The sequence below is a fragment of the Homo sapiens genome, chromosome 3, assembly GCF_000001405.40.
Source record: "Homo sapiens chromosome 3, GRCh38.p14 Primary Assembly".
Lineage (NCBI taxonomy): Eukaryota > Metazoa > Chordata > Mammalia > Primates > Hominidae > Homo > Homo sapiens.
In genome coordinates this window covers 59,337,386-59,364,060 of record NC_000003.12, presented here as the reverse complement: position 1 = coordinate 59,364,060, position 26,675 = coordinate 59,337,386, and the positions used below count along the sequence as shown (strand labels likewise).

Below are 26,675 nucleotides of genomic sequence, written 5' to 3'. Positions count from 1 at the left end.
TAGTAAGAAATATCCTGAAAAGCTGCTAAACTTCAAAGATATACCCAAAGAATTCTATGGACATATAGGCCAATAAGTAGTTCATATACAAAGGGGAAATATTAGAATGTCTTCGGATTCCTCCATAGTAACATTACATGATAAAAGGCAGTACAGCAATATATGAAAAGTTCTGAGGAAATTTCATATCTAGCCAAGTTTACTACAAGTACAAGGCTAAACACAGAAACTCATAAGCCTTAAGGACTCAGAGAACATTCCCCCTATGAGTCTTTATGGGGAGGGGGTAATTGATGATAAATTCAACCAAACAAAATACAATTTAAAATGAAGAACTCAAAAATGGGTAAGTTGTGTTAAAATAACAGTGAGAACTAAATTCAGTTCAACATAGAATTAAGACAGGACACCATCATGAACTGTGGCTACAGCAAAAATCAATGTCATACATCTTAACAATGGGTAAATAAAATTATAAGACAGTGGGGGAAGAACAAGTTGGCAAGAGGTAAAAGTATGATCAACTTTCTTATCTTTCAGACTAGAGAGTCTATAAATGCTGTTTGATATACATAGTTAAAAAACAATTTCTTCAAACTCTTAAGGTTTCTCCCATATTTTAAAAGGCAAAGTATCATTAAAAACTGTAGTTCTTCTTACCTGAAGTAATACAACATTTTAAGATAATTTTTCGGCTGTTAAATTCAAATGACTTACATTTAACACATTTCATTTAAAATTTTATATATATATATATATATATATATAGAGAGAGAGAGAGAGAGAGAGAGAGAGAGAGAGAGAGAGAGTGTGTGTGTGTGTGTGTGTGTGTGTGTGTGTGTGTTTGGCCATTATGGAGTTAAAGGACCATACTTAACTTCCTATAATAATCACCTAGAAAACTGAGCAAAATATGTACAATAACTATTTCCAGACAGTTAAAAATAGGTAACACAGATTGTGATTCCTGAGGGGAGGAAAGCAAGTGAGATAATCTCTAAAATTGGTCTGGTTTTCTGCCTGAAGTGATAAAACAAAAATCAGAGATTAAGAAGGATGAAATGGCTGGGACTTGTGGGGCAAATTTCCAGAAAAGATGAAGCTACCCAGTAAAAGAGCTCTAGAAATCTGCATGAGGGTTACCTTAAGTAGCCCCTAAGTATAAGGTTGTGCATAGATAGAGTAAAAGTCCACAATCCAGGGCAAAGAGTGACCGATTTGCAAAAGCAGAACAATTTCCAGAGCTCAATAGGGTTGGGAGGCATTCAAACTTTGGTGAGTCAGTGTAGAATGTCCACAGTGGCCATGTGGGGTATTCTGTGGACACCCCAGAGGGGTCGTGATTTACTCTAGGCATGATTTGTTCATGCCTAGAGTAAAGCCTACTCTAGACTACTCCTCACAAAGTTTGTTTTTTTGGTTTTTTTTTTTTTGTTTTTTTTTTTTGAGACAGTCTCACTCTGTCGCCCAGGCTGGAGTGCAGTGACGCGGTCTCCACTCACTGCCCCCTCCACCTCTCAGGTTCAAGTAATCCTCCTGCCTCAGCCTCCCAAGTAGATGGGATTACAGGTGTGTGCTCCCATGCCTGGCTAATTGTTGTATTTTTCGTAGAAACGGGATTTCACCATGTTGGCCACTCCTGACCTCAAGTGATCCACCCACCTTGGCCTCCCAAAGTGCTGGGATTATAGGCATGAGCCACTGCGCCCAGCCTTCACAAAGTTTAAAAAGATAATTAAATAAGCTTAAACTGACAGAAAAATACATGTCCCCCAATATGAAGTTCAAAACTCCTTAAAGTGAGACAACAAAATTCAGACACTCAACTATGTAGTATTCACAATGTTGCAGCATCCAATAAAAAAAACTTGTCAGAATAAGAATAAGGACATTGTGATTCATAACCAGGAGAAAACTCAGTCAATAAAAAGAGACATACAAATGATAGAGATGATGGAACTCATAGTTAAAAGTTAGAACAACTATTATAACAATACATTCATATTTTATAAAAAGCATGGCCATGGTGAGGAGAGAAATGGAACATATAAAAAGAGTCAAAAGGAACTTTTAGAAATAAAAAAATACAGTATCTGAAGTAAAAATTCCATTAGACAGATTTGGCAACAGATTTGACTCTGCAAAAGAAAACATAGGTAACCTTGAACACATAACAATAGAACATAAAGTAAATGAAGCACAGGAAGTAAAAAGACTAAAAAGATCCTTCATGATTTGTGGAATAACAGAGAGTAATTTTAAATACACATTGTAGGGGTCCTAGAAGGAGGAGCTATGAAAATATTTTAAATATTAAAGGCCAAAAATTTCTCAAATTTAATGAAAAGTGTAAACTTATAGATCCAGAAAATAATGAAAACACATCTTGAAAATGTTGAGGGGAAAACCTACCAGCCTAGAATTTTCTATCCAGTGATAATATTCTTTAGAAGGGAAAGAAAAATAAAAACTTTTTCAAACAAAATCCAAGAAAAGGTCATCACCAGTAGACTTACAGTAGTTTTTCAGATGGAAGAAAAACATCACATGGAAACATGAATCTGCAAAAGACAAAGAATCAGAAATGATCAATATATGGATAAATCTAGGAGGTTTTTTCTCAGTTTTAAAATTCTTTGAAAGATATCAACTATTTAAAGAACACTAATGACAGCATATTTTAGAATTTAAAACATGAGATTAAAATCTATAACAAGATTAGCATGAAAGATGGGGGGCACAGAATAATATTGTTAAAATGGTCACACATTATGTGAAATATATATATACAATGTTATTTTAAAATAAACCATACTAAGTTCAAATGTATATGGTAAACTCTAAACCAATAAAAATAAGTATAACTAATAAGGTAATAGGGAGATAAAATAAAGTATTAAACTTATTTAATATTAAATATAAATACTCAAGTTTAAGGAATGCAGATTTTAAAAGATAGAAAATAGAACAGATAAGCAAATATCAAGACAGCAGTAGATTTAAACTCAAACATGATGATTACATGAAATGTAGATGACCTAAACTCTCCAGTTGAAAGACAGACATTTTTGATTGAATAAAAAAGCAAGACAGTGCTCACGAGGTGGAGCAGAAGGGTAGAGCCAAGACGGCGGAATAGGAACAGCTCCAGTCTACAGGTCCCAGCGTGAGCGATGCAGAAGACAGGTGATTTCTGCATTTCCAACTGAGGTACCAGGTTCATCTCACTGGGGAGTGTCGGACAGTGGGTGCAGGACAGTGGGTGCAGTGCACTGAGCAGGAGCTGAAGCAGGGCGAGGCATTGCCTCACCCAGGAAGCACAAGGGGTCAGGGAATTCCTTTTCCTAGTCAAATAAAGGGGTGACAGATAGCACCTGGAAAATCGGGTCACTCCCACCCTAATACTGCACTTTTCCAATGGTCTTAGCAAACGGCACACCAGGAAATTGCATCCCATGCCTGGCTTGGAGGGTCCTACGCCCACGGAGCCTCGCTCATTTGCTAGCACAGCAGTCTGAGATCAAACTGCAAGGCGGCAGCGAGGCTGGGGGGGTTGCCCACCATTGCCAAGGCTTGAGTAGGTAAACAAAGCGGCCTGAGAGCTTGAACTGGGTGAAGCCCACCACAGCTCAAGGAGGCCTGCCTGCCACTGTAGACTCCACTGTTGGGGGCAGGGCATACCCAAACAAAAGGCAGTAGAAACCTCTGCAGACTTAAATGTCCCTGTCTCACAGCTTTGAAGAGAGTAGTGGTTCTCAGCACGCACCTGGAGATCTGAGAATGGACAGACTGCCTCCTCAAGTGGGTCCCTGACCCCCGAGTAGCCTAACTGGGAAGCATCCCCCCAGCAGGGGCAGACTGACACCCTGCATGGCTGGGCACTCCTCTGAGACAAAACTACAGAGGAACAATCAGGCAGCAACATTTGCTGTTCACTGATATCTGCTGTTCTGCAGCCTCCGCTGCTGATACCCAGGCAAACAGAGTCTGGAGGGGACCTCTAGCAAACTCCAACAGACCTGCAGCTGAGGGTCCTGACTGCTAGAAAGAAGACTAACAAAAAGAAAGGACATCCACACCAAAACCCCATCAGTATGTCACCATCATCAAAGACCAAAGGTAGATAAAACCACAAAGACAGGGAAAAAACAGAGCAGAAAAACTGGAAACTCTAAAAATTAGAGCGCCTCTCCTCCTCCAAAGGAATGCAGCTCCTCACCAGCAATGGAACAAGCTGGATGGAGAATGACTTTGACAAGTTGAGAGAAGAAGGCTTCAGATGATCAAACCACTCTGAGCTAAAGGAGGAAGTTCGAACCCATGGCAAAGAAGTTAAAAACCTTGAAAAAAAAATTACATGAATGGTTAACTAGAATAACCAATAAAGAGAAGTCCTTAAAGGACATGATGGAGCTGAAAACCATGGCAGGGGAGAACTACGTGATGAATGCACAAGCCTCAGTAGCTGATTCGATCAACTGGAGAAAGGGTATCAGTGACAGAAGATCAAATGAATGAAATGAAGTGAGAAGAGAAGTTTAGAGAAAAAAGAATAAAAAGAAACAAACAAAGCCTCCAAGAAATATGGGACTATGTGAAAAGACCAAATCTACGTCTGATTGGTGTATCTGAAAATGATGGGGAGAATGGAACCAAGTTGGAAAACACTCTGCAGGATATTACACAGGAGAACTTCCCCAATCAAGCAAGGCAGGCCAACATTCAAATTCAGGAAATACAGAGAACACCACAAAGATACTCCTCCAGAAGAGCAACTCCAAGACACATAATTGTCAGATTCACCAAAGTTGAAATGAAGGAAAAAATGTTAAGGGCAGCCAGAGAGAAAGGTCGGGTTACCCACAAAGGGAAGCCCATCAGACTAACAGCGGATCTCTCAGCAGAAACTCTACAAGCCAGAAGAGAATGGGAGCCAATATTCAACATTCTTAAAGAAAAGAATTTTCAACCCAGAATTTCATATCCAGCCAAAATAAGCTTCATAAGTGAAGGAGAAATAAAATCCTTTACAGACAAGCAAATGCTGAGAGATTTTGTCACCACCAGGCCTGCCCTAAAAGAGCTCCTGAAGAAAGCACTAAACATGGAAAGGAACAACCAGAACCAGCCACTGCAAAAACATGCCAAATTGTAAAGACCATCGAGGCTAGGAAGAAACTGCATCAACTAACGAGCAAAATAACCAGCTAACATCATAATGACAGGATCAAATTCACACATAACAATATTAACCTTAAATGCAAATGGGCCAAATGGGCTAAATGCTCCAATTAAAAGACAGAGACTGGCAAATTGGATAAAGAGTCAAGACCCATCAGTGTGCTGTATTCAGGAAACCCATCTCACGTGCAGAGACACACGTAGGCTCAAAATAAAGGGATAGAGGAAGATCTACCAAGCAAATGGAAAACAAAAAAAGCAGGGGTTGCAATCCTAGTCTCAGATAAAACAGACTTTAAACCAACAAAGATCAAAAGAGACAAAGAAGGCCATTACATAATGGTAAAGGGATCAATTCAACAAGAAGAGCTAACTATCCTAAATATATATGCACCCAATACAGGAGCACCCAGATGCATAAAGCAAGTCCTTAGAGACCTAGAAAGAGACTTAGACTCCCACACAGTAATAATGGGAGACTTTAACACCCCACTGTCAATATTAGACAGATCGATGAGACAGAAAGTTAACAAGGATATCCAGGAATTGAACTCAGCTCTGCACCAAGTGGACCTAATAGACATCTACAGAACCATCCACCCCAAATCAACAGAATATACAATCTTTTCAGCACCACACCACACCTAGTCCAAAACTGACCACATAGTTGGAAGTAAAGCACTCCTCAGCAAATGTAAAAGAACAGAAATCATAACAAACTGTCTCTCAGACTACACTGCAATCAAACTAGAACTCAGGATTAAGAAACTCACTCAAAACGACTCAACTACATGGAGACTGAACAACCTGCTCCTGATTGACAACTGGGTACATAACAAAATCAAGGCAGAAATGAAGATGTTCTTTGAAACCAATGAGAACAAAGACACAACATACAAGAATCTCTGGGACACATTCAAAGCAGTGTGTAGAGGGAAATTTATAGCACTAAATGCCCACAAGAGAAAGCAGGAAAGATCTAAAATTGACACACTAACATCACAATTAAAAGAACTAGAGAAGCAAGAACAAACACATTCAAAAGCTACCAGAAGGGAAGAAATAACTAAGATCAGAGTAGAACTGAAGGAAATAGAGACACAAAAAACCCTTCAAAAAAATCAATGAATCCAGGAGCTGGTTTTTTGAAAAGATCAACAAAATTGATAGACCGCTAGCAAGACTAATAAAGAAGAAAAGAGAGAAGAATCAAATAGATGCAATAAAAAATGATAAAGGGGATATCACCACCGATCCCACAGAAATACAAACTACCATCAGAGAATACTATAAACACCTCTATGGAAATAAACTAGAAAATCTAGAAGAAATGGATAAATTCCTCAACACATACACCCTCCCAAGCCTAAACCAGGAAGAAGTTGAATCTCTGAAAAGACCAATAACAGGTTCTGAAATTGAGGCAAGAATTAATAGCTCACCAACCAAAAAAAGTGCAGGACCAGATGGATTCACAGCCGAATTCTACCAGAGGTACAAGGAGGAGCTGGTACCATTCCTTCCGAAACTATTTCAATCAATAGAAAAAGGGGGAATCCTCCCTAACTCATTTTATGAGGCCAGCATCATCCTGATACCAAAGCATGACAGAGACACAATGAAAAAAGAGAATTTCAGACCGATATCCCTGATGAACATCAATGCTAAAATCCTCAATAAAACACTGGCAAACTGAATCCAGCAGCACATCGAAAAGCTTATCCACCATGATCAAGTGGGCTTCATCCCTGGGATGCAAGGCTGGCTCAACATATGAAAATCAATAAACGTAATCCAGCATATAAACAGAACCAATGACAAAAACCACATGATTATCTCAATAGATGCAGAAAAGGCCTTTGACAAAATTCAACAGCCCTTCATGCTAAAAACTCTCAATAAATTAGGTATTCATGGGACGTATCTCAAAATAATAAGAGCTATGCTATGACAAACCCACAGCAAATATCATAGTGAATGGGAAAAAACTGGAATCATTTCCTTTGAAAACTGGCACAAGACAGGGATGCCCTCTCTCACCACTCCTATTCAACCTAGTGTTGGAAGTTCTGGCCAGGGCAATTAGGCAGGAGAAGGAAATAAAGGGTATTCAATCAGGAAAAGAGGAAGTCAAATTGTCCCTGTTTGCAGATGACATGATTGTATACATAGAAAATCCCATCATCTCAGCCCAAAATCTCTTTAAGCTGATAGGCAACTTCAGCAAAGTCTCAGGATACAAAATCAATGAGCAAAAATCACAAGCATTCTTATACACCAATAACAGACAATCAGAGAGCCAAATCATGAGTGAATTCCCATTCACAATTGCTTCAAAGAGAATAAAATACCTAGGAATCCAACTTACAAGGGATGTGAAGGACCTCTTCAAGGAGAACTGCAAACCGCTGCTCAGTGAAATAAAAGAGGATAAAAACAAATGAAAGAACATTCCATGCTCATGGGTAGGAAGAATCAATAGCATGAAAATGGCCATACTGCACAAAGTAATTTATAGATTCAGTGCCATCCCCACCAAGCTACCAATGACTTTCTTCACAGAATTGGAAAAATCTACTTTAAAGATCATATGGAACCAAAAAAGAGCGCTCATTGCCAAGTCAATCCTAAGCCAAAAGAACAAAGCTGGAGGCATCACGCCACCTGACTTTGAACTATACTACAAGGCTACAGTAATCAAAACATTATGGTACTGGTACCAAAACAGAGACATAGACCAATGGAACAGAACAGAGCCCTCAGAAATAATGCCACATATCTACAACTATCTGATCTTTGACAAACCTGAGAAAAACAAGAAATGGGGAAAGGATTCCCTATTTAATAAATGGTGCTGGGAAAACTGGCTAGCCATATGTAGAAAGCTGAAACTGGATCTCTTCCTTACACCTTATACAAAAATTAATTCAAGATGGATTAAAGACTTAAATGTTAGACCTGAAACCATAAAAACCCTGCCCTAGAAGAAAATCTAGGCAATACCATTCAGGACATAGGCATGGGCAAGGACTTCATGTCTAAAACACTAAAAGCAATGGCTACAAAAGCCAAAATTGACAAATGGGATCTAATTAAACTAAAGAGCTTCTGCACAGCAAAAGAAACTACCATCAGAGTGAACAGGCAACCTACAGAATGGGAGAAAATTTTTGCAATCTACTCATCTGACAAAGGGCTAATATCCAGAATCTACAATGAACTCAAACAAATTTACAAGAAAAAAACAAACAACCCCATCAAAAAATGGGCGAAGTATATGAACAGACACTTCTCAAAAGAAGACATTTATGCAGCCAAAAGACACATGAAAAAATGCTCATCATCACTGGCCATCAGAGAAATGCAAATCAAAACAACAATGAGATATCATCTCACACCAGTTAGAATGGTGATCATTAAAAAGTCAGAAAACAACAGGTGCTGGAGAGGATGTGGAGAAATAGGAACACTTTTACACTGTTGCTGGGACTGTAAACTAGTTCAACCATTGTGGAAGTCAGTGTGGTGATTCCTCAGGGATCTAGAACTAGAAATACCATTTGACCCAGCCATCCTATTACTGTGTATATACCCAAAAGATTATAAATCATGCTGCCATAAAGACACAGGCACACATATGTTTATTGTGGCACTATTCACAATAGCAAAGACTTGGAACCAACCCAAATGTCCAACAATGATAGACTGGATTAAGGAAATGTGGCACATATACACCATGGAATACTATGCAGCCATAAAGAATGATGAGTTCATGTCCTTTGTAGGGACATGGATGAAGCTGGAAACCATCATTCTCAGCAAACTATCACAAGGACAAAAAACCAAACACTGCATGTTCTCACTCATAGGTGGGAATTGAACAATGAGAACACATGGACACAGGAAGGGGAACATCACACACCAGGGCCTGTTGTGGGGTGGGGGGAAGGGGAAGGGATAGCATTAGGAGATACACCTAATGTTAAATGACGAGTTAATGGGTGCAGCACACCAACATGGCACATGTATACGTATGTAACAAACCCGCACGTTGTGCACATGTACCCTAAAACTTAAAGTATAATAAAAAAAAAACAACAAAAAAAGCAAGACACTACATTATGCTGTCTGCAAGAAAACCACTTTAAATGTAGATTCAAAGATAGATTAAAGTTAAAAGGTTTGAAAAGATATATTATTCAAGTACTAAGTATAAAAAAGAGGAAGGAGCTGAATTAATAACAGACAAAGTAGACTTTCATACCTGTGATAAAGAATAGTTCATAATAATAAAAAGGTCAATTTATTGAGGAGACATAACAACCTACGTGTATACATATACTAACAATGCTTCAAAGTACGAGAAGCAAGAACAGATATAACTGCAAATAGAAATAGACAAATTCACAATTATAGTTGGAGATTTCAACCATCCTCTCAGTAATTAATAGAACAAGTAATAGAAAATCAATATAATTGACATTTATAGTACACTCCACCCAGTGACAGCAGAATATACATTCTTTTCAAATGCAACTAGACAGTTGACTAAGGAAAACCAGCTTCTGGGACATAAAACAAGTCTTAACATAATTCAAGTAATGCAAATATATGTTCTCTGACAACAACAGAATTAAATTATAAATCAATAACAGAAAGATTCCTAAAATTTCCAAAACATTTGTAAAGTAAACAATACACTTCTAATAGCTCATGGGTCAAGTATACTCTGGTTTCTTTTCACAACGAATAAATATTTTTACTTTTACTAGTAACCCATGGGTTAAAAAAGAAATCTCAAGGGAAATTTTAAAATCTTTTGAACTAAATTAAAATGGAAACAACATATTGAAATGTGCCAATGCAACTAAACAAGTGCTTAAACAGAAACTTAGAGTTTTAAATGGTCACATTAGAAAAAGCATGAGATAATGCCAATGATCTAAGTGTCTACCTAAATACATTAGAAGAAAAAAAAAAGAGAAAAGTCAACTCAAAATAAGTAAAGGGAAGAAAATAATAAGAGAGCAAAAAAATATAATAATAGGAAAAAAACATTGAAAAGAAATGAATTACCAATGCAAAAACAAAAGTAGGGATACCACTACAGATTATAGAAACAATAAAAGGACAATAAAAGAGTATTACAAACAATTGTATGCCAGTCAATTCAACAATTTAGGTGAAATGGACAAAATCTTCAAAATATCCAAATTACTAACACTAAAACAAGAAAAAATAAAAATCTGAATAAACTGATATTTATAAAGGAAATTGAATTCATAATTTAAAATCATCATACAGTGGAAAGTTCAGGCTCACATGGCTTCAGTGATAAAGTCTATTAAACATTTAAGAGATAGTCAGTCTTATACAATCATTTCCAGAAGAATAATTCCCAATTCATTTTCTGAGGCCAGCATTATTCTAATACCGAAAATAGACAAAGGCATTATAAGAAAACTACATACAAAACAGTGCAATGTCCCCCATCATGGCAGACAGGAGGCAGGACTAGATTGCAGCTCTGACTTGAATGGACAGACCAGCGAGTGGAGGCCGGCATCATGAATTTTAGCTCCAGAAAGACTGGAGGAATAATTGAGGAAACTTGAAACGACCCACAGACCCCCTGAAGGAAGCAGATTGCTCCTACAGGACCTGGGAGACACCCCAAATACTGTGCTGGTATCCACAGCTGAGAGACCCATAGACGGTTTACATCACAGGACTCTGTATAGATAACCCCCAGTACCAGTCCACAGCCTGGTAGACTTGCTGGGTGGCTAGACCCAGAAGAGAGACAACAATCACTATAGCTCAGCTCTCAGGAAGCCACATCCATAGGAAAAGGGAGAAAAGTACTACATCAAGGAACACCCTATGGGACAAAAGAATCTGAAAAACAGCCTTCAGCCCTAGAGTTTCCCTCTAACAGAGCCTACCCACATGAGAAGGAACCAGAAAACCAACTCTGGTAATATGACAAAACAAGGTTCTTTAACACCCCTAAAAAATTCACACTGGCCTACCAGCAATGGATCCAAACTAAGAAGAAATCCCTGATTTACCTGAAAAAGAATAAAGGAGGTTAGTTATTAAGCTAATCAGGGAGGCACTAGGCAAAGGTGATGCCCAATGCAAGGAAATCCAAAAATGATACAAGAAGTAAAGGGAAAAATATTCAATGAAATAGATAGCATAAATAAAAGCAATCAAAACTTCAGGAAACATTGGACACACTTAGAGAAATGCAAAATGCTCTGGAAAGTCTCAGCAACAGAATTGAACAAGTAGAAGAAAGAAATTCAGAGCTCAAAGACAAGGTCTTTGAATTAACCCAACCCACCAAAGACAAAGAAAAAAGAATAAAAAAATATGAACAAACCCTCCAAGAAGTCTTGGATTATGTTAAATGACCAAACTTAAGAATAATTCGTGTTCCTGAGGAAGAAGAACATTTAGAAGTTTGGAAAACATATTTGGGGAACTAATCAAGGAACACTTCCCTGGCCTTGCTGGAGACCTAGACATCCAAATGCAAGAAGCACAAAAAACACCTGGGAAATTCATTGCAAAATGATCATCACTTAGGCACATTGTCATCAGGTTACCTAAAGTTAAGATGAAGGAAAGAATCTTAAGAGCTGTGAGGCAAAAGCACCAGGTAACCTATAAAGGAAAACCTATCAGATTAACAGCAGATGTCTCAGCAGGAACCCTACAAACTAGAAGGGATTGGGACCCAATCTTTAGCCTCCTCAAACAAAACAATTATCAGCCAAGAATTTTGTAGGCAGTGAAACTAAGCATCACATATAAAGGAAAGATAGTCTTTTTCATACAACAAATGCTGAGAGAATTCGCCACTGCCAAGCCACCACTACAAGAACTGCTAAAAGGAGCTTTAAATCTTGAAACAAATCCTGGAAACACAGCAAAACAGAACCTCTTTAAAGCATAAATCTCACAGGACCTACAAAACAAAAACACTATTTAAAAAACAAAGACAAAAAAACAAAAACCAAAGTACACAGGCAACAAATAGCATGATGAATGGAATGGTACCTCACATCTTAATACTAACATTGAATGTAAAGGCCTAAATGCTCCACTTAAAAGATACTGAACTGCAGAATGGATAAGAATTCACCAAGCAACTATCTGCTGCCTTCAAGAGACTCATCTAACACATACGGACTCATGTAAACTTAAAGTAAAGGGGTGGGAAAAGGCATTTCATGCAAATGGACACTAAAAGCCAGTTGGAGTAGCAATTCTTATATCAGACAAAACAAACTTTAAAGCAACAGCAGTGAAAAAAGACAAAGAGGGACATTATAAAATGGTGAAAGGCCTTGTCCAGCAGGAAAATATCACAATCCTAAACATACATGCACCTAACACTGGAGCTCCCCAACTTATAAAATAATTACTAATAGACCTAAGAAATGAGATAGACAGCAGCACAATACTAGTGGGGGACTTCAATACTCCACTGACAGCACTAGACAGGTCATCAAGACAGAAAGTCAACAAGGAAACAATGAATTTAAACTATACCTTGGAACAAATAGACTTAACAGATATGTACAGAGCATTCCATCCAACAACCTCAGAATACACATTCTATTCAACAGCACATGGAACTTTCTCCAAGATAGACCATATGACAGGCCACAAAACAAGCCTCAATACATTTAAGAAAATTGAAATTTTATCAAGCACCCTCTCAGACCATAGTGGAATAGAATTGGAAATCAACTCCAAAAGGAATCTTCAAAACCATGCAAATACATGGAAATTAAATAACCTGCTCCTGAATGATCATTGGATCGAAAATGAAATCCAGATGGAAATTTAAAAATTCTTTCAACTGGACGACAATAGTGACACAACCTATCAAAATCTCTGAGATACAGCAAGTATCCCAGAGGAAAGTTCATAGCCCTAAACACATACATCAAGAAGACTGAAAGAGCACAAACTGACAATCTAAGGTCACACCTCAAAGAACTAGATAAATAAGAACAAATCAAACCCAAACCCAGCAGAAGAAAGAAAATAACCAAGATCAAAGCAGAACTAAATGATACTGAAACAAACAAACAAAAAATACAAAAGATAAATGAAACAAAAAGCTGGTTCTTTGAAAAGGTAAATAAAATTGATAGACCAGTAGCAAGATTAGCCAAGAAAAGAAGAGAGAGAATACAAATAACCTCAATAAGAAATAAAACAGGAGATATTATAACATACCACAGAAATACAAAACCTTTGTACAAACACCTTTATGCACATAAACTAGAAAACCCAGAAGAGTTGGATAAATTCTTGGAAAGATACAACCCCCCTAGCTTAAATCAGGAAGAATGACACCCTGAACAGACCAATAACAAGCAGTGAGATTGAAATGGTAATTTAAAAATTACCAACAAAAAAAGTCCAGGGCCAGATGGATTCACAGCAGAATTCTACCAGACATTCAAAGAGAATTGGTACCAATTCTATTGACACTATTCTACAAGATAGAGAAAGAGGGAACCCTCCCTAACTTATTATATGAAGCCAGCATCACCCTAAGACCAAAACCAGGAAAGAAAATAACCAAAAAAGAAAACTGTAGGTTAATATCCCTGATGAACAAAGATGCTAAAATCCTTAACGAAATACTAGCTAACCGAATCCAACAACATATCAAAAAGATAATCCACCATGATCAAGTGGGTTTCATAGCAGGATGCAATGAAGCTTTAACATATGCAAGTCAATAAATGTGATACACCACATAAACAGAATTAAAAACAAAAATCGCATGTTCATCTCAATAGATGCAGAAAAATCATTTGACAAAATCTAGCATCACTTTATGATTAAAACTCTCAGCAAAATCGGCATGCAAGGGACACACCTCAATGCAATAAAAGCCATCTATGACAAACCCATGGCCAACATAATACTGAAGGGGGAAAAGTTGAAAACATTCCCGTTGAGAACTGGAACAAGACAAGGATGCCCACTCTCAGCACTCCTCTTCAACACAGTACTGGAAGTCTTAGCCAGAGTAATCAGACAAGAGAAAGAAATAAAGGGCATCCAAATCAGTAAAGAGTAAGTCAAACTGTCACTGTTTCCTGATGACATGATTGTTTACCTTGAAAACCCTAAAGACTCCTTCAGAAAACTCCCAGAACTGGTAAAGGAATTCAGCAAAGTTTCTGGATACAAAAATTAGTATACACAAATCAGTAGCTTTTCTACACACCAACAGCAACCAAGCAGAAAATCAAATCAAGAACTCAACCCCTTTTACAATAACTGCAAAAACAAATAAAATACTTAGGAATATACCTAACCAAGGAGATGAAAGACTTCTACAAGGAAAACTACAAAACACTTCTGAGAGAAATCATAGACGACACAAACAAATGAAAACACATCCCATGCTCATGGATGGGTAGAATCAATATTGTGAAAATGACCATATTGCCAAAAGCAATCTACAAATTCAATGCAATTCCCATCAAAACACCACCATCATTCTTCACAGAATTAGAAAAATAAATTCTGAAATTTATATGAAACCAAAAAAGAGCCAAAGCAAGACTAAGCAAAAAGAACAAATCTGGAAGCATCACATTACCTGATGTCAAACTATACTATAATGCCATAGTCACCAAAACAGCATGGTACTGGTATAAAAATAGGCACATAGACTGATGGAACAGAATAGAGAAACCAGAAATAAACCGAAATACTTACAGCCAACTGATCTTCAACAAAGCAAACAAAAACATGAAGTGGGGAAAGGACACCCTTTTCAACAAATGGTGCTGGGATAATTGGCTAGCCACATGTAGGAGAATGAAACAATCCTCATCTCTCACCTTATACAAAACTCAACTTGAGATGAATTAAGGACTTAAATCTGAGACTAAAACTATAAAAATTCTAGAAGATAGTATTGGAAAAACCCTTCCAGACATTGTCTTAGGCAAGGATTCCTTGACCAAGAACCCAAAAGCTAATGCAATAAAAACAAAGATAAATATTTCGGACTTAATTAAACTAAAGAACTTCTGCACAGCAAAAGGAACATCAGCAGAGTAAACAGACAACCCACAGAGTGGGAGAAAATATTCTATGCATCTGACAAAGGACTAATAACCAGAATCTACAACGAATTCAAACAAATCAGCAAGAAAAAAAACAAACAAGCCCATCAAAAAGTGGGCTAAGGCCATGAATAGACAAAAGAAGATATACAAATGGCCAAAAAACATATGAAAAAAATGCTCAACATCAGGGAATTGCAAATCAAAACCACAATGCAATACCACCTTACTCCCGCAAGAATGGCCACGATCAAATAATAAAAAAACAATAGATGGGCCGGGTACAGGGGCTCACGCCTGTAACCCCAGCACTTTGGGAGGCCAAGGGGGGTGGATAACTTGAGATCAAGAGTTCAAAACCAGCCTGGCCGACATGGCAAAACCCCATCTCCACTAAAAATAAAAATACAAAATTAGCCAGGCATGGTGGTGGGTGCCTGTAATCCCAGCTGCTAGGGAGGCTGAAACAGAAGAATCACTTGAACCCAGGAAGCAGACATTGCAGTGAGCCAAGATTGTGCCACTGCACTCCAGCCTAGGTGACAGAGCAAGACTCTGTCTCAAAAAAAAAAAAAAAGAAAAGAAAAGAAAAGAAAAACAGTAGATGTTGGCATGGATGCAGTAATCAGGGAACACTTCTACACTGCTGGTGGGAATGTAAACTACTACAACCGCTATGGAAAACAGCGTGAAGATTTCTTAAAGAACTAAAAGTAGGACTACCATTTGGTCCAGCAATCCCACTACTGGGTATCTACCCAGAGGAAAAGAAGTCATTATACAAAAAAGATACCGGGACACACACATTTATAGCAGCACAATTCACAATTGCAAAATCGTGGAACCAACCCAAGTGCCCATCAATCAATGATGGATAAAGAAACTGTGGTATATATATACAATGGACTACTCAGTCATAAGAAGGAATGAATTAACGGCATTCACAGCAACCTGTATGAGATTAGAGACTATTATTCTAAGTGAAGTAACTCTGGAATGGAAAACCAAACATTGTATGTTCTCACTGATTTGTGGGAACTAAGCTATGAAGATCCAAAGGCATTAGAATGATACAATGGACTTTTGGGACTTGGGGGAAGGATGGGAGGGGGCTAAGGCATAAAAGACTACAAATAGGGTCCAGTGTATACTGCTTGGGTGATGGGTGGTGCACCAAAATCTCACAAATCACCACTAACAAACTTGCTTATGTAACCAAACACAACCTGTACCCCAATAACCTAAGGAAAAATAGAAACAATTTAAAAAAAAGAAAACTACATACCAATATTTTTCATGAATATAGACATAAAAATCTTTAAAATAATATTTGACAATAAAAACGCAATAATACATAAAATAATAAAACTTCAGATCAAGCAGAATTTATCCCAGAAATGAAAAGTTGTCTCAATATTGGAAAAGCTATTGATGTAGTTCATCATATGAACAGACAAAAGAAGTAAACCATATAATGATGTCAACAGATGCATGAAAAACATTTGACAAAATTCAGTACTCATTCATGATAAAGACTTTTACCACACTATGAACGAAAGGAAACATCCCAACCTGATAAAGAGCATGTTACCAAAAAAACTCCAAAACCCTGTCGCTTACCTCATACTTAATGGTAAAAGTTTGAATGCTTTACCCCTAAGATCGGGGCAAGGCTAGGATGTTTGTTCTCCCTACTTTAAAAAATAATCTCTTAGAGGTCATATCCAATGCATTAAGGAAAGAAAAAACAAGTGAAGGGCACCCATATCAGAAAGATGGGAGTAAAATTATTTTATTAAGAGACGACATGAAAAAACAGCCAAGAAACTACTGAAAAAACTACCAAGGAAAGGACCAAGCTACTAGAAGAAGTATAAGTATGTTTAGCAAACGTGCTACTTATCAATGCATTAACTCCAAGCTCCAAATCCACCTCTCTACCCTACATGGGGATAATGGAGCTGAATCCTGTAAACGCTTGTTCTTTGTCAGCTTCTACAATGTCAGTCTTTGTCAGTAGAGAGAGCTGGAGAGACCTTGCAAGCCATAGAAGAGGAAAGGGTTTCTCTTCCTAGCTGTTTTTCCCCCATAAAGTATGGCTCTAGCAGCATGCAGGAGACCCAGTGGCAGACACTCTCCAGGAAGTTTCTCTTGCACCCCAGCAGGTGACTTTCTATGGCCCAGCTCCAGTCCATCAACAGCTCAGCATACATGTCCATCACCCACTGGACTTGCAGAAACACCCCCTCCAAGCAAGTTTCAACCAGGTTGGGGTACAGCCCTGCTGTGGTTTGAAAGGCACCCTCCAAAATTTAGGTATTGAAACTTAATGGCCAATGTGATAGTATTAAGAGCTTAGGGCCTTTACAAAGTGATTAGGTCATAAGGATTCCTTCTGGATGAATGTGATTTGTGTTTGTTTGGCTTTCTTGCCCTTTTGCCTTGTGCCATGTGAAGACACAGCATCCCTTCAAGTCTTCCACCACTGAGGTTGCCGCAACAAGGCACCCTCTTGGAAGAACAGAGCAGCCCTCATCAGACAACTGAACCTGCCAATGCCCTGATCTTGGACCTCCCAGCCTCCAGAACTGTGAGGAAATAAATTTCTGTTGTTTATAATTACTCAGTCTGTGATATTTTGTTACAGCAGCACAAAAGGACTAAGACTCTTCTGAGTTCTTATTTCTACTTTTGGATACTCTGCCTTAGTCCTTGTGGTAGTTGCGAATCCCCATATTTGCCCTTCCTGGATTGCTTAGAGTTCTCTCTCACTCCTTATAGTAGCTAATCCCTTTCACTATTTAATAATACTTTATTAAATATATATTTTAAACTTTATTAAAATGTTCTGTTCAGATGACTGATGTGGTTTCTGCTTCCTGGCTGGTTAGTCCAGCAAGGTTGCTGAATACAAACTCAATACACAAAAAATCAATTCATTTCTAAATAGTAGAAATTAACTACTGGAAATTTAAAATTTAAAAACAGTATTATTTATAATAAAAGGTTAAAATCATAAAGTGCTTAGGAATAAATTTAACAAAATATGCGCAAGACTTGTAAACAGAAAACTACAAAATATTGCTTAGAAAAAGTAAAGACTTAAATGGAGGGATATACCATGCTTGTGGATTAGAAAAACTGATAGTGTTGAGATGTCAGCTCTCCCCAAATTAAGCTATAGGTTAATATATTCAAAATCACAGTATATTTTTGTAGAGATTGACAGTCTCATTCCAAAATTTATACAAAAATGCAGAATATCTAGGGTAATCAAAAAATTTTCCTAAAAAGGAACACCATTGGAGGAATTATACTATCTGATTTAGTCTTATTATGGAGCCAGTAACCAAAGGAGTTTAGTATTGGCATAAGGATAGACATGTAAATAAATGAAACAGAATAGAGAATCCAGAAATAGATCCACACATATTTGGTCAATTTATTTTTAACAAAAGTAAAGAGGTAATTTAATGATAAAATGATAGACTTTTCAACAAATAGTGCTAGAACAACTGGGTATTAGCATGGGAAAAATAAAACTTCATCAGTAACTCACACTACATGCAAAGATTACCCAAATTAGATCATAGGCCGAACCCTAAAGACTAAAGCAATAAAACTTCCAGAAGGAAGCGTAGGAGGAAATCTTCACAAATGTGCAGTATGTAAAGACTTTTTTAAGGATATAAAAGAGCATAAAACAATAAAACTAGTAAATTATACTTTATCAGATTAAAAACTTCTGCTCTTCTAAAGTCAAGATTTAAAAATTGAGAAAGTAAGTCACAGACTGGGAGAAAATACCTGCAATACATATACATTTGACAAGGAACTGGTATTCTGAACATATAAAATATCTTCCTTTACAACTCAATGGTAAGAAAAAAATGAAAAAAAGAATAAAATATTTTAACACTTTAAGGAGGACACCTCAAGAAGAAGGTATATGGAATAACCATAAGCACATGAAAAGATATTAACATCTCTATAATTATATAAAGATAGGAAAAAACCATCTAGAAATGATAGGATAAAATAGAATTACATTCTATGTATCAATTCTAACTTTTTTATTGTAATAATCACAGAGACGTATAGAGGAGTTATACGTGTGTGAGTGTGTGCATATAAAGAGACAGAGACAGAGACAGAGACAGAGAGAGAATGTATGTAATATGTATATATTTAGCAACAAAATGAACTCATATATTACCACTGCCCAGGAGAAGATATAGCATATTGCCAGCATCCTAGAGGCCCAGTGTAGCTGCAGCAATCACAATCTTCTCTCTCCCTACTGAGTTAACGACCATGCAAATTTTCAAGGTCATTATTTCCTTGATTTTGTTTATGATTTAACCTTCCATGCAAGCAAACCTAAACAATATCATCTTATTTTACCTGCTTTTTGGACCACATATAAATTGAATCAGATTGTATGAATTCTTTTTCATGCTCATTTTGCTTAACATTATGTTTGTTAAGATTAATTCAAATTGTTTCTTATAGCTATAATTTGTTCATTTTCTTTCAGTATAATATTCTATTGTAAAACTACCTAATAACTTATTTATAAATTCCCACCATTTATAGGTATTTGAACTATTGGCAGTTTTATTACAAATATGCACTTATAAATATTCTCATATGTATTTTGCTGTATATGTGCATGAATTTCAATAGAGAATATTTTCAGGAAATATTCATAGAGTACGTGTATCTCTAACTTTATTATATAATGCCCAATTGTTTTTCCAAGGTGGCTGTACTAACACTCCCAATTGCAGTGTTTATGCATTCCAGTTGTTCCACATCCTCCCTAACACCTTATAGCATGAGACTCTTATTTCAGCCAGTCTGGTTGGTGCATAGATGTACCTCACTACAGCTTCCATTTTCATTTCCTGGATTACCAATTAGACTGAGTATCTTTCTATATGTTCAGTAGCCATGTGGATGGATATTCTCTTTTGGGATGTCATTTAAAGTACCCACATTCATAGTAGGATGTCTATCTGTGTCTGGTTAGTTGTTTTTAAGGGTGGGAAATTGAGTGATTTGTTTTTGCTTTCCCTTTTGCTATTTTCTGAACTACCTAAATAATAAAATAACAAAAACACACACAAACTTGCCTTAGCTTACATGGTACTTCATTGTATAGAAGTACTTTAAACTATTTAACCACTCTCCTTATGATGGAAATGAAGGCTACTTCCAATTTAAACGTGTTATAAACAACAGTGCAATGAATAGTCTTGTACAAACACACAGGTGTCAGAGGAAAGGAGTGCTGGGTGTCAAATGGCAGGAAGGATGACATTGATGAGTTTCCTGAATGATGTCCTTTTCTCATCCCCACCATGAACAGGCTTCCCCACCAGCCACGCCTGGATGCTGGTTCAGGCAGGTGAGAACAAGGTAAGAAAGGAACAAAACAAAAATAAAAAAAATAGAAAATGCTGAAAGAAAGGGGAGACTGATAGGAGTGATTGCTTTTGTTTCCAATTTTGTAATATGTACTTTTTGAAATGAATAGAAAAGTTAAAAGAAGGGTACAAGGAATACACATATAGCAATCACTAAACTCAACAACTGTTAGCATTTTGCGTTATTTGCTTCACATTTGCCCTTTTATCTGACCATTTTAAATTAAGCAGCAGACATTATGACACTTCATCCTTCAACATCACCACCTATATTTTCTACAAATACGGACTTTCTCCTGTATATCCTCAACATATTATACCCCCATGAAAATTACACAATAATTCCCAAACAGTATCTAAACTCACCATAGTTTCTGACGCAGAGTAGTTTGTAGATTTCTTCATTAATTGGTGGCAGAGGGCGGGGGGCAGTGAGGCAGGTATTAAGCCTGAAAAGAAGGCCTGGGTTCTCCTCCTCATCATCATGATTCTCTCACATCTCCCCAACCCTCAATATAATCTGAGGGCATGGGAGGTCAGTAGCTGATACAAGTGAAGTTTTTATTCCTATTTGTTAAAGATTTTTTTTTTCTGAGAAGTAAAGAAATGTATACTCATTATAGAAAATATGAAAATATGGGCAGTACATGGAAACAAAAAACAACAGGGGGAAATGTTATCCACAAACCCATTCCTTTGCACAGAAAATCAAATACCACATGATCTCATTTGTATGTGAAATGTAAAAAAGTCAAACTCATAGAAACAGAGAGCAAAATGGTGGTCATAAGAGGCCAGGGGGTGAGGGGATTAGGGAGATGTCAGTGAAAAGACACACATTTTAGTGAGGAAGAATAAGTTCAAGAGATCTAGTGTACATTATGGTGACTACAGTGAATAACCATATAATTGTATATTTGAAAATTGCTAAGAAAGTAGATTTTAAGTGTCCATGCTGCAACAACAAAAAAAGATAATTATGTAAGGTAATGTATATGTTAAATAGCTTGATTTAACCATTACACAATGCGTACATATACCAAATCATCATGTTGAACACCATGACATATGCAATTTTTAATTAAAAATAATTGTTAATTAAAAATAAGTAAGTTCTTTTCTAAAAAGTTGGTTATTCAACAGAAATAAAAACTAAATAAAAAGTCACAATAAGACTGACACAAACAAATGAACATCCACAGAACAAATGTTCTCCTTGGACAAAATCCCACTCGTGCTTGGTGCTTCTTCGTGACTGCTCTGGCAGGTGGAGGCTCTGGGTGTGCTTGGCTTTCACTCCAGACTTAGCCACCTTTCGGCACTATACATTGTAACTCAGAAACCTGCCTACCTGCTAGAAGAGATTTGGGGTGAATGCTATGTGTCCAGGTGCCAAAGCCAGGCCTTATTAGATACACTTCACAACTCTGTCCACTTTTTTTAAAAAAATAGTTTTTTTCTCCCCAAAGTAGAAGCTCCAGATAAACTGTCTTGACAGCTTCTTCCCACTGAAGTGATCAGAGAGCTCATAGACCTCTCATGGAAAAGGGGAAATGGTTTCCTGGTAGGGAAGACAGTGTTTAGAGATTGCTGTTCAAGCTTGAAACATAAATAACTTCTGAATCCCTCAAAATCAGGCAGCCAGCATGTACCAGGAGACGCTCGGCAGATGGTGTTCCAAGGGCTCAGTGTTTGTTTTCTTTCTGGCATGCGGGAGGGAGTATTTGCCAGCTAGCTAGACCACAGTCAGGGTTTCAAAGGGTAGCTCTGATCTTTTGGTAGGGAGGGAAAAGGACCACCCCTCCTCCTATCTCTCCAAGTGACTCCGAGTTGTCACCCTTGCCCTCCCCACCCTGCTATCTAATTACTACCTGCTCTTGCCTCAGTACCAGTTCTGAGCAACTGCAAACCAGGAGAGAAAACTCCCGGCAAACTCTCCTGCAGATCTAGGGCCCTTCCAGTCCCAACACTGCTTTCAACCTTTTCTTTAATGTGACACTCAAACACAAACAGGGCAATAATGCACATCTCTGAAGGACAGTCCCCTTCTTGCCTTGGGACCCTTGAGTGGGCTGCAGTTCAGATCATCTATAGGGAAGTAAGGAAGTAGCCAGTCTGTTTTCAATAATTGACTTTCAGTACACACACACACACACACACACACACACACACACACACACACACACACGCAGTTGTCCTTCAGTATCCATGGGGGAATTTGTTCCAAGACCCCTGATATCGTGGGTACCAAAATCCATGAATGCTCAAGTCTCTGATATATAATGGCATAGTATTTGCATGTAACCTACACACATCCTCCTGCATACTTTAAATCATCTCTAGATTACTTATAATCCCTAACACAATGTAAGTGCTATGTAAATAGTTGTGATACTGTATTTTTAGGGAATAACAACAAGGATAAAAAGTCTGTGCTTGTTCAGTACAGATGCAACCTTCCATTTTTTTCTGAATTTTTTTATCTGTGATTGGTTGAATCTACACATGGAGAACTCAGGGATATGAAGGGTTGGCTGCCAGCTGTATTTGTAAACAGTTTTGACTAAAATTAATCTGACTTCCTCACCTCCATTTACCACTAATAGAAGTGTGGCAGGGGCAGGAGAAATGAGGAGAGAAAATTAAATATATAATCCTGCTTAAAACTGAATATAATCTAAAAATTACACACCCTCTTTAGTTCGGTCTCTCTTCATAAAAATGCATAGACTCTCAGAGGCTCCCCTCCCTGTATTCCTCGTCTAACAGGAAGCCAGGTGTCTTGGTGAGAAAGTGGGGGAGTCTTTTATGACATCAGGCTGATGGGGAGCTCAGGGTTTTGGGTTTGGGAGTTCTCTCGTCTCCAGGGACAAGTTCCTGGTCCCCTGATCACTGTGGCCATGCTGGCACTCACAGTTGGAGCCTGGCTCTGTCTCGGCTTGGACCAAGCCCATGGCTGCTCCCCAGCTGTCTCTACCTCTCCTCGCTCCTGCTGGCTACAGATCTAAACTTCTGCAGGGTCTTCCTTCTATACCATGTGACAGAGAGCCCCATGGCAGGTGCACACTGGGACTGAGAAAGCTACAGCCTGCAAAGTTGTTCTGTGAACCACCTGTACAACTTACCCCAGGTGAATGCTGAGGCAGCCCAAGATGAGATGCTTGTCCAAGTTCTTAAATGGATGAGGCAATAAGCCCCGTTCCCTCCATTAAACCCTCACGTATAACTGCCTCCACCCCTACTCAAAGCATTGGAGAAAGCCAGACCACATCTCTTCTTCTTGTTCTCCCTCCTCGCTCACTCCTTTCACTTCCTACCATTTATTTCCTGTACACCCTGAAACCTTAAAGCTAGCCTAGCTGTGTGAGCAGAAGTGATCTATGCTCCACAACTTGGGGCAACTATAAACTGGGTCCACACACTTGCCCCCTTGCCCCTGCTACTGATACTCTGAAAGAGGCAATACCAATTTTAAACCTTATTCCAAGAATATTCTCCAATTTGCAAGTTGTCTGATGTCTAATCGGCCTTTGCATCTCAGAAACTAAGGAGTATCTCCTTTGTCTCTGACTTCCTTCCTTAACAAATCCTAATCTTCCTCCCCATTCCTGCCCTCTGCTCCAGGTATCAAACCTTGGACCAAGAAGAACAAAGATCATATCCCCAGGAAGACAAAAGAATAAAGCATGTGAATAATTTTTAATAAGTAAATCCTTTATTCCAAGCAAACCTTTCATTGGATTACATTGAGGTTTGAATAAGAAATTGTATGAAAATGGCTTAGAAAAATACCTCATCAATAAGTAGGCAATAAAATGTAACTATTAATCATTATTTAGCACATGCTGTGTCATTTAACCCACGGAAACAGAGGAGGCACTTTAACAGGCCATGCTATCCCCATTTTATAAATTAGAACAATGAAGCTCAAAGGTGCTGCTATTTTCTCTAGGTCATGTGAAGACTGAGCAATGGGACCAAATTAGAATTCAGAGTTTGTGACCCCTTCTCAGAACGTTAATCTTCCTTTCTTAATCAAGTCTCACCTCTTATACAAAGTCTGGGACGCTTTGATCAAGGGTCAGCAAACTTTTTCTATAAAGCGCCAAAAAGTAAATATTTTAGTTTTTTCCGGGGCTAAAGGTCTCTGCCACAACTATTCAACTCTGCCGTTGTAGCACAAAAAAAGCCACAGACAATACACACACAAATAGATGTGACTGTGTTCTAATAAAGCTTTATTTAGAAAAACAGACAGTAGGCTGAACTTTGCCCATGGGCTATCGTTTGCTAACCTCTGCTTCATATCAGTAACAAGTGCCTAGAACGTGGTAGGGAATACAAAATGAGTTTGGCTAGATAAATGAATAAAACAGTGATTTCTCTTACTCTCAACTATTTCAGTGCCAAAAGTCTCTACTATGTAGGCTAGCATTGAATTTCATGTGTCATATTATTCAATATCACTTCATATGTCTTTCCGTTATCCATGTATGACACAATATTAAGTATGAGTCTTGTGACTTTATACTCAGACAAGCCTGGAATTGAGACCCAACTTTTCCATTTGGGCAAGTTAATTTGCCTGGGACTTCTGTTACTTCATGTGCAAAATGGGGATAAGCATGCTGGCCTGCAGTGATATGAGGCTCAGATATTACATAGACACAGTGCCAAATGAATAGTCATCATTATTACAAATGAGGTATGGACAGAGATTAGGTCTTTTTCCGTCTCTTATCGAAACCTTCCTGGTTTCAGTCTTCCTCATTGATGTTTAAGTGAATGGGAATTGGGAATGGTGGTGATTCTGGCCTGACATGTCTGGGAAGGAGGCTGCAGGTTGGGAGGTGCACCACATGCTGAACTGACTTGGCTGCTGCCTCCTTGCGCTAGTTATGTCCAACTGCTGAGGTTTTGCAAAGAGCCAGGTTTCAGCCAGTTTTTAAGGTTTCAGCTCATCTTTTATAAGCTGTTGACAGTAATATGTTCAATACCTGTGTTTGAAATGCACTGTTGCAGATTTTAACACTTCACTGTTCAGGTTAAATTCTTCAGCTGATACACACAGAAAAGTATTATACCTTCTTCATAGTGAACTCAAATCTGGACTGAGGACATGACCAGTAAGAAAAGGAAGTAGTCCCTACTACATTCGAATGGCCTGGAAGCTCCTGGGAATTGGAAGACATAGCAGTCTTCATCGCTGCCTCTTGCTCACTATCTGATCTTGGGTGAGATAGACCCATCCTCTTTGCTGGGCCTCAATATTTTCCAGACTTTACCCTATCCATGTAGCCCCTGTACTATTAGTTTTTTTCTCAGTTTCAAATAAATCAATTTATTTTACTTACCCTGTCCTACATAATAATACCTTTAATATTATTGTTATACTAATTATATTTTTTCCTATCACACATGATAATAAATGCCCACATACCTATCGAAACATAAATTGTAACTATTATAATAAAAATGTTTCTTTGTGTACCACCTAGCATCATCTCAGACATCACCGGTGGTGGGTATTCCCACTTTTGGAAACACTGCATTTGACAAAGGGTATCTAGCATGCTTTCCACATCGCATGATGCTTTTATGCTCCCAGCAGTACCTGGCACCATGTCAGGCACACACATGGTATGGGAAGCCCTTACATTTACATTGCACTTTACACTTTTCATAATATTTCAACATACGTAAAAAGGAGAGGAGCATGAAGGAGAGAATCTCCTTAAAAGTTTGCATAAACTCAGCAATGGAGAAGAATAACTGAAAGATCCCAGGAAAGGAACCAAACCACCTGCCAAGGAAACTTTCTTGGCCCTGGAGCCCTGTTTTCTCACTGTAAAGAAGGCATGAGGGCCAGGTGTGGTGTCTCACACCTGTAATCCCAGCACTTTGGGAGGCTGAGGCAGGTGGGTCACCTGAGGTCAGGAGTTCGAGACGA

General features: G+C 38.0%; 1 long non-coding RNA gene across 1 annotated transcript in view; it reads right to left on the bottom strand.

Annotated features, from left to right (window-relative positions):
• The window catches only part of CFAP20DC-DT (CFAP20DC divergent transcript), a 724,471-nt gene that overhangs the window by 447,250 nt on the left and 250,546 nt on the right, over nt 1-26,675 (bottom strand). The window contains exon 5 of the long non-coding RNA XR_002959675.2: nt 2,517-2,561. This is a non-coding gene — a long non-coding RNA (CFAP20DC divergent transcript). The remainder of the gene's footprint in view (nt 1-2,516; nt 2,562-26,675) is intronic.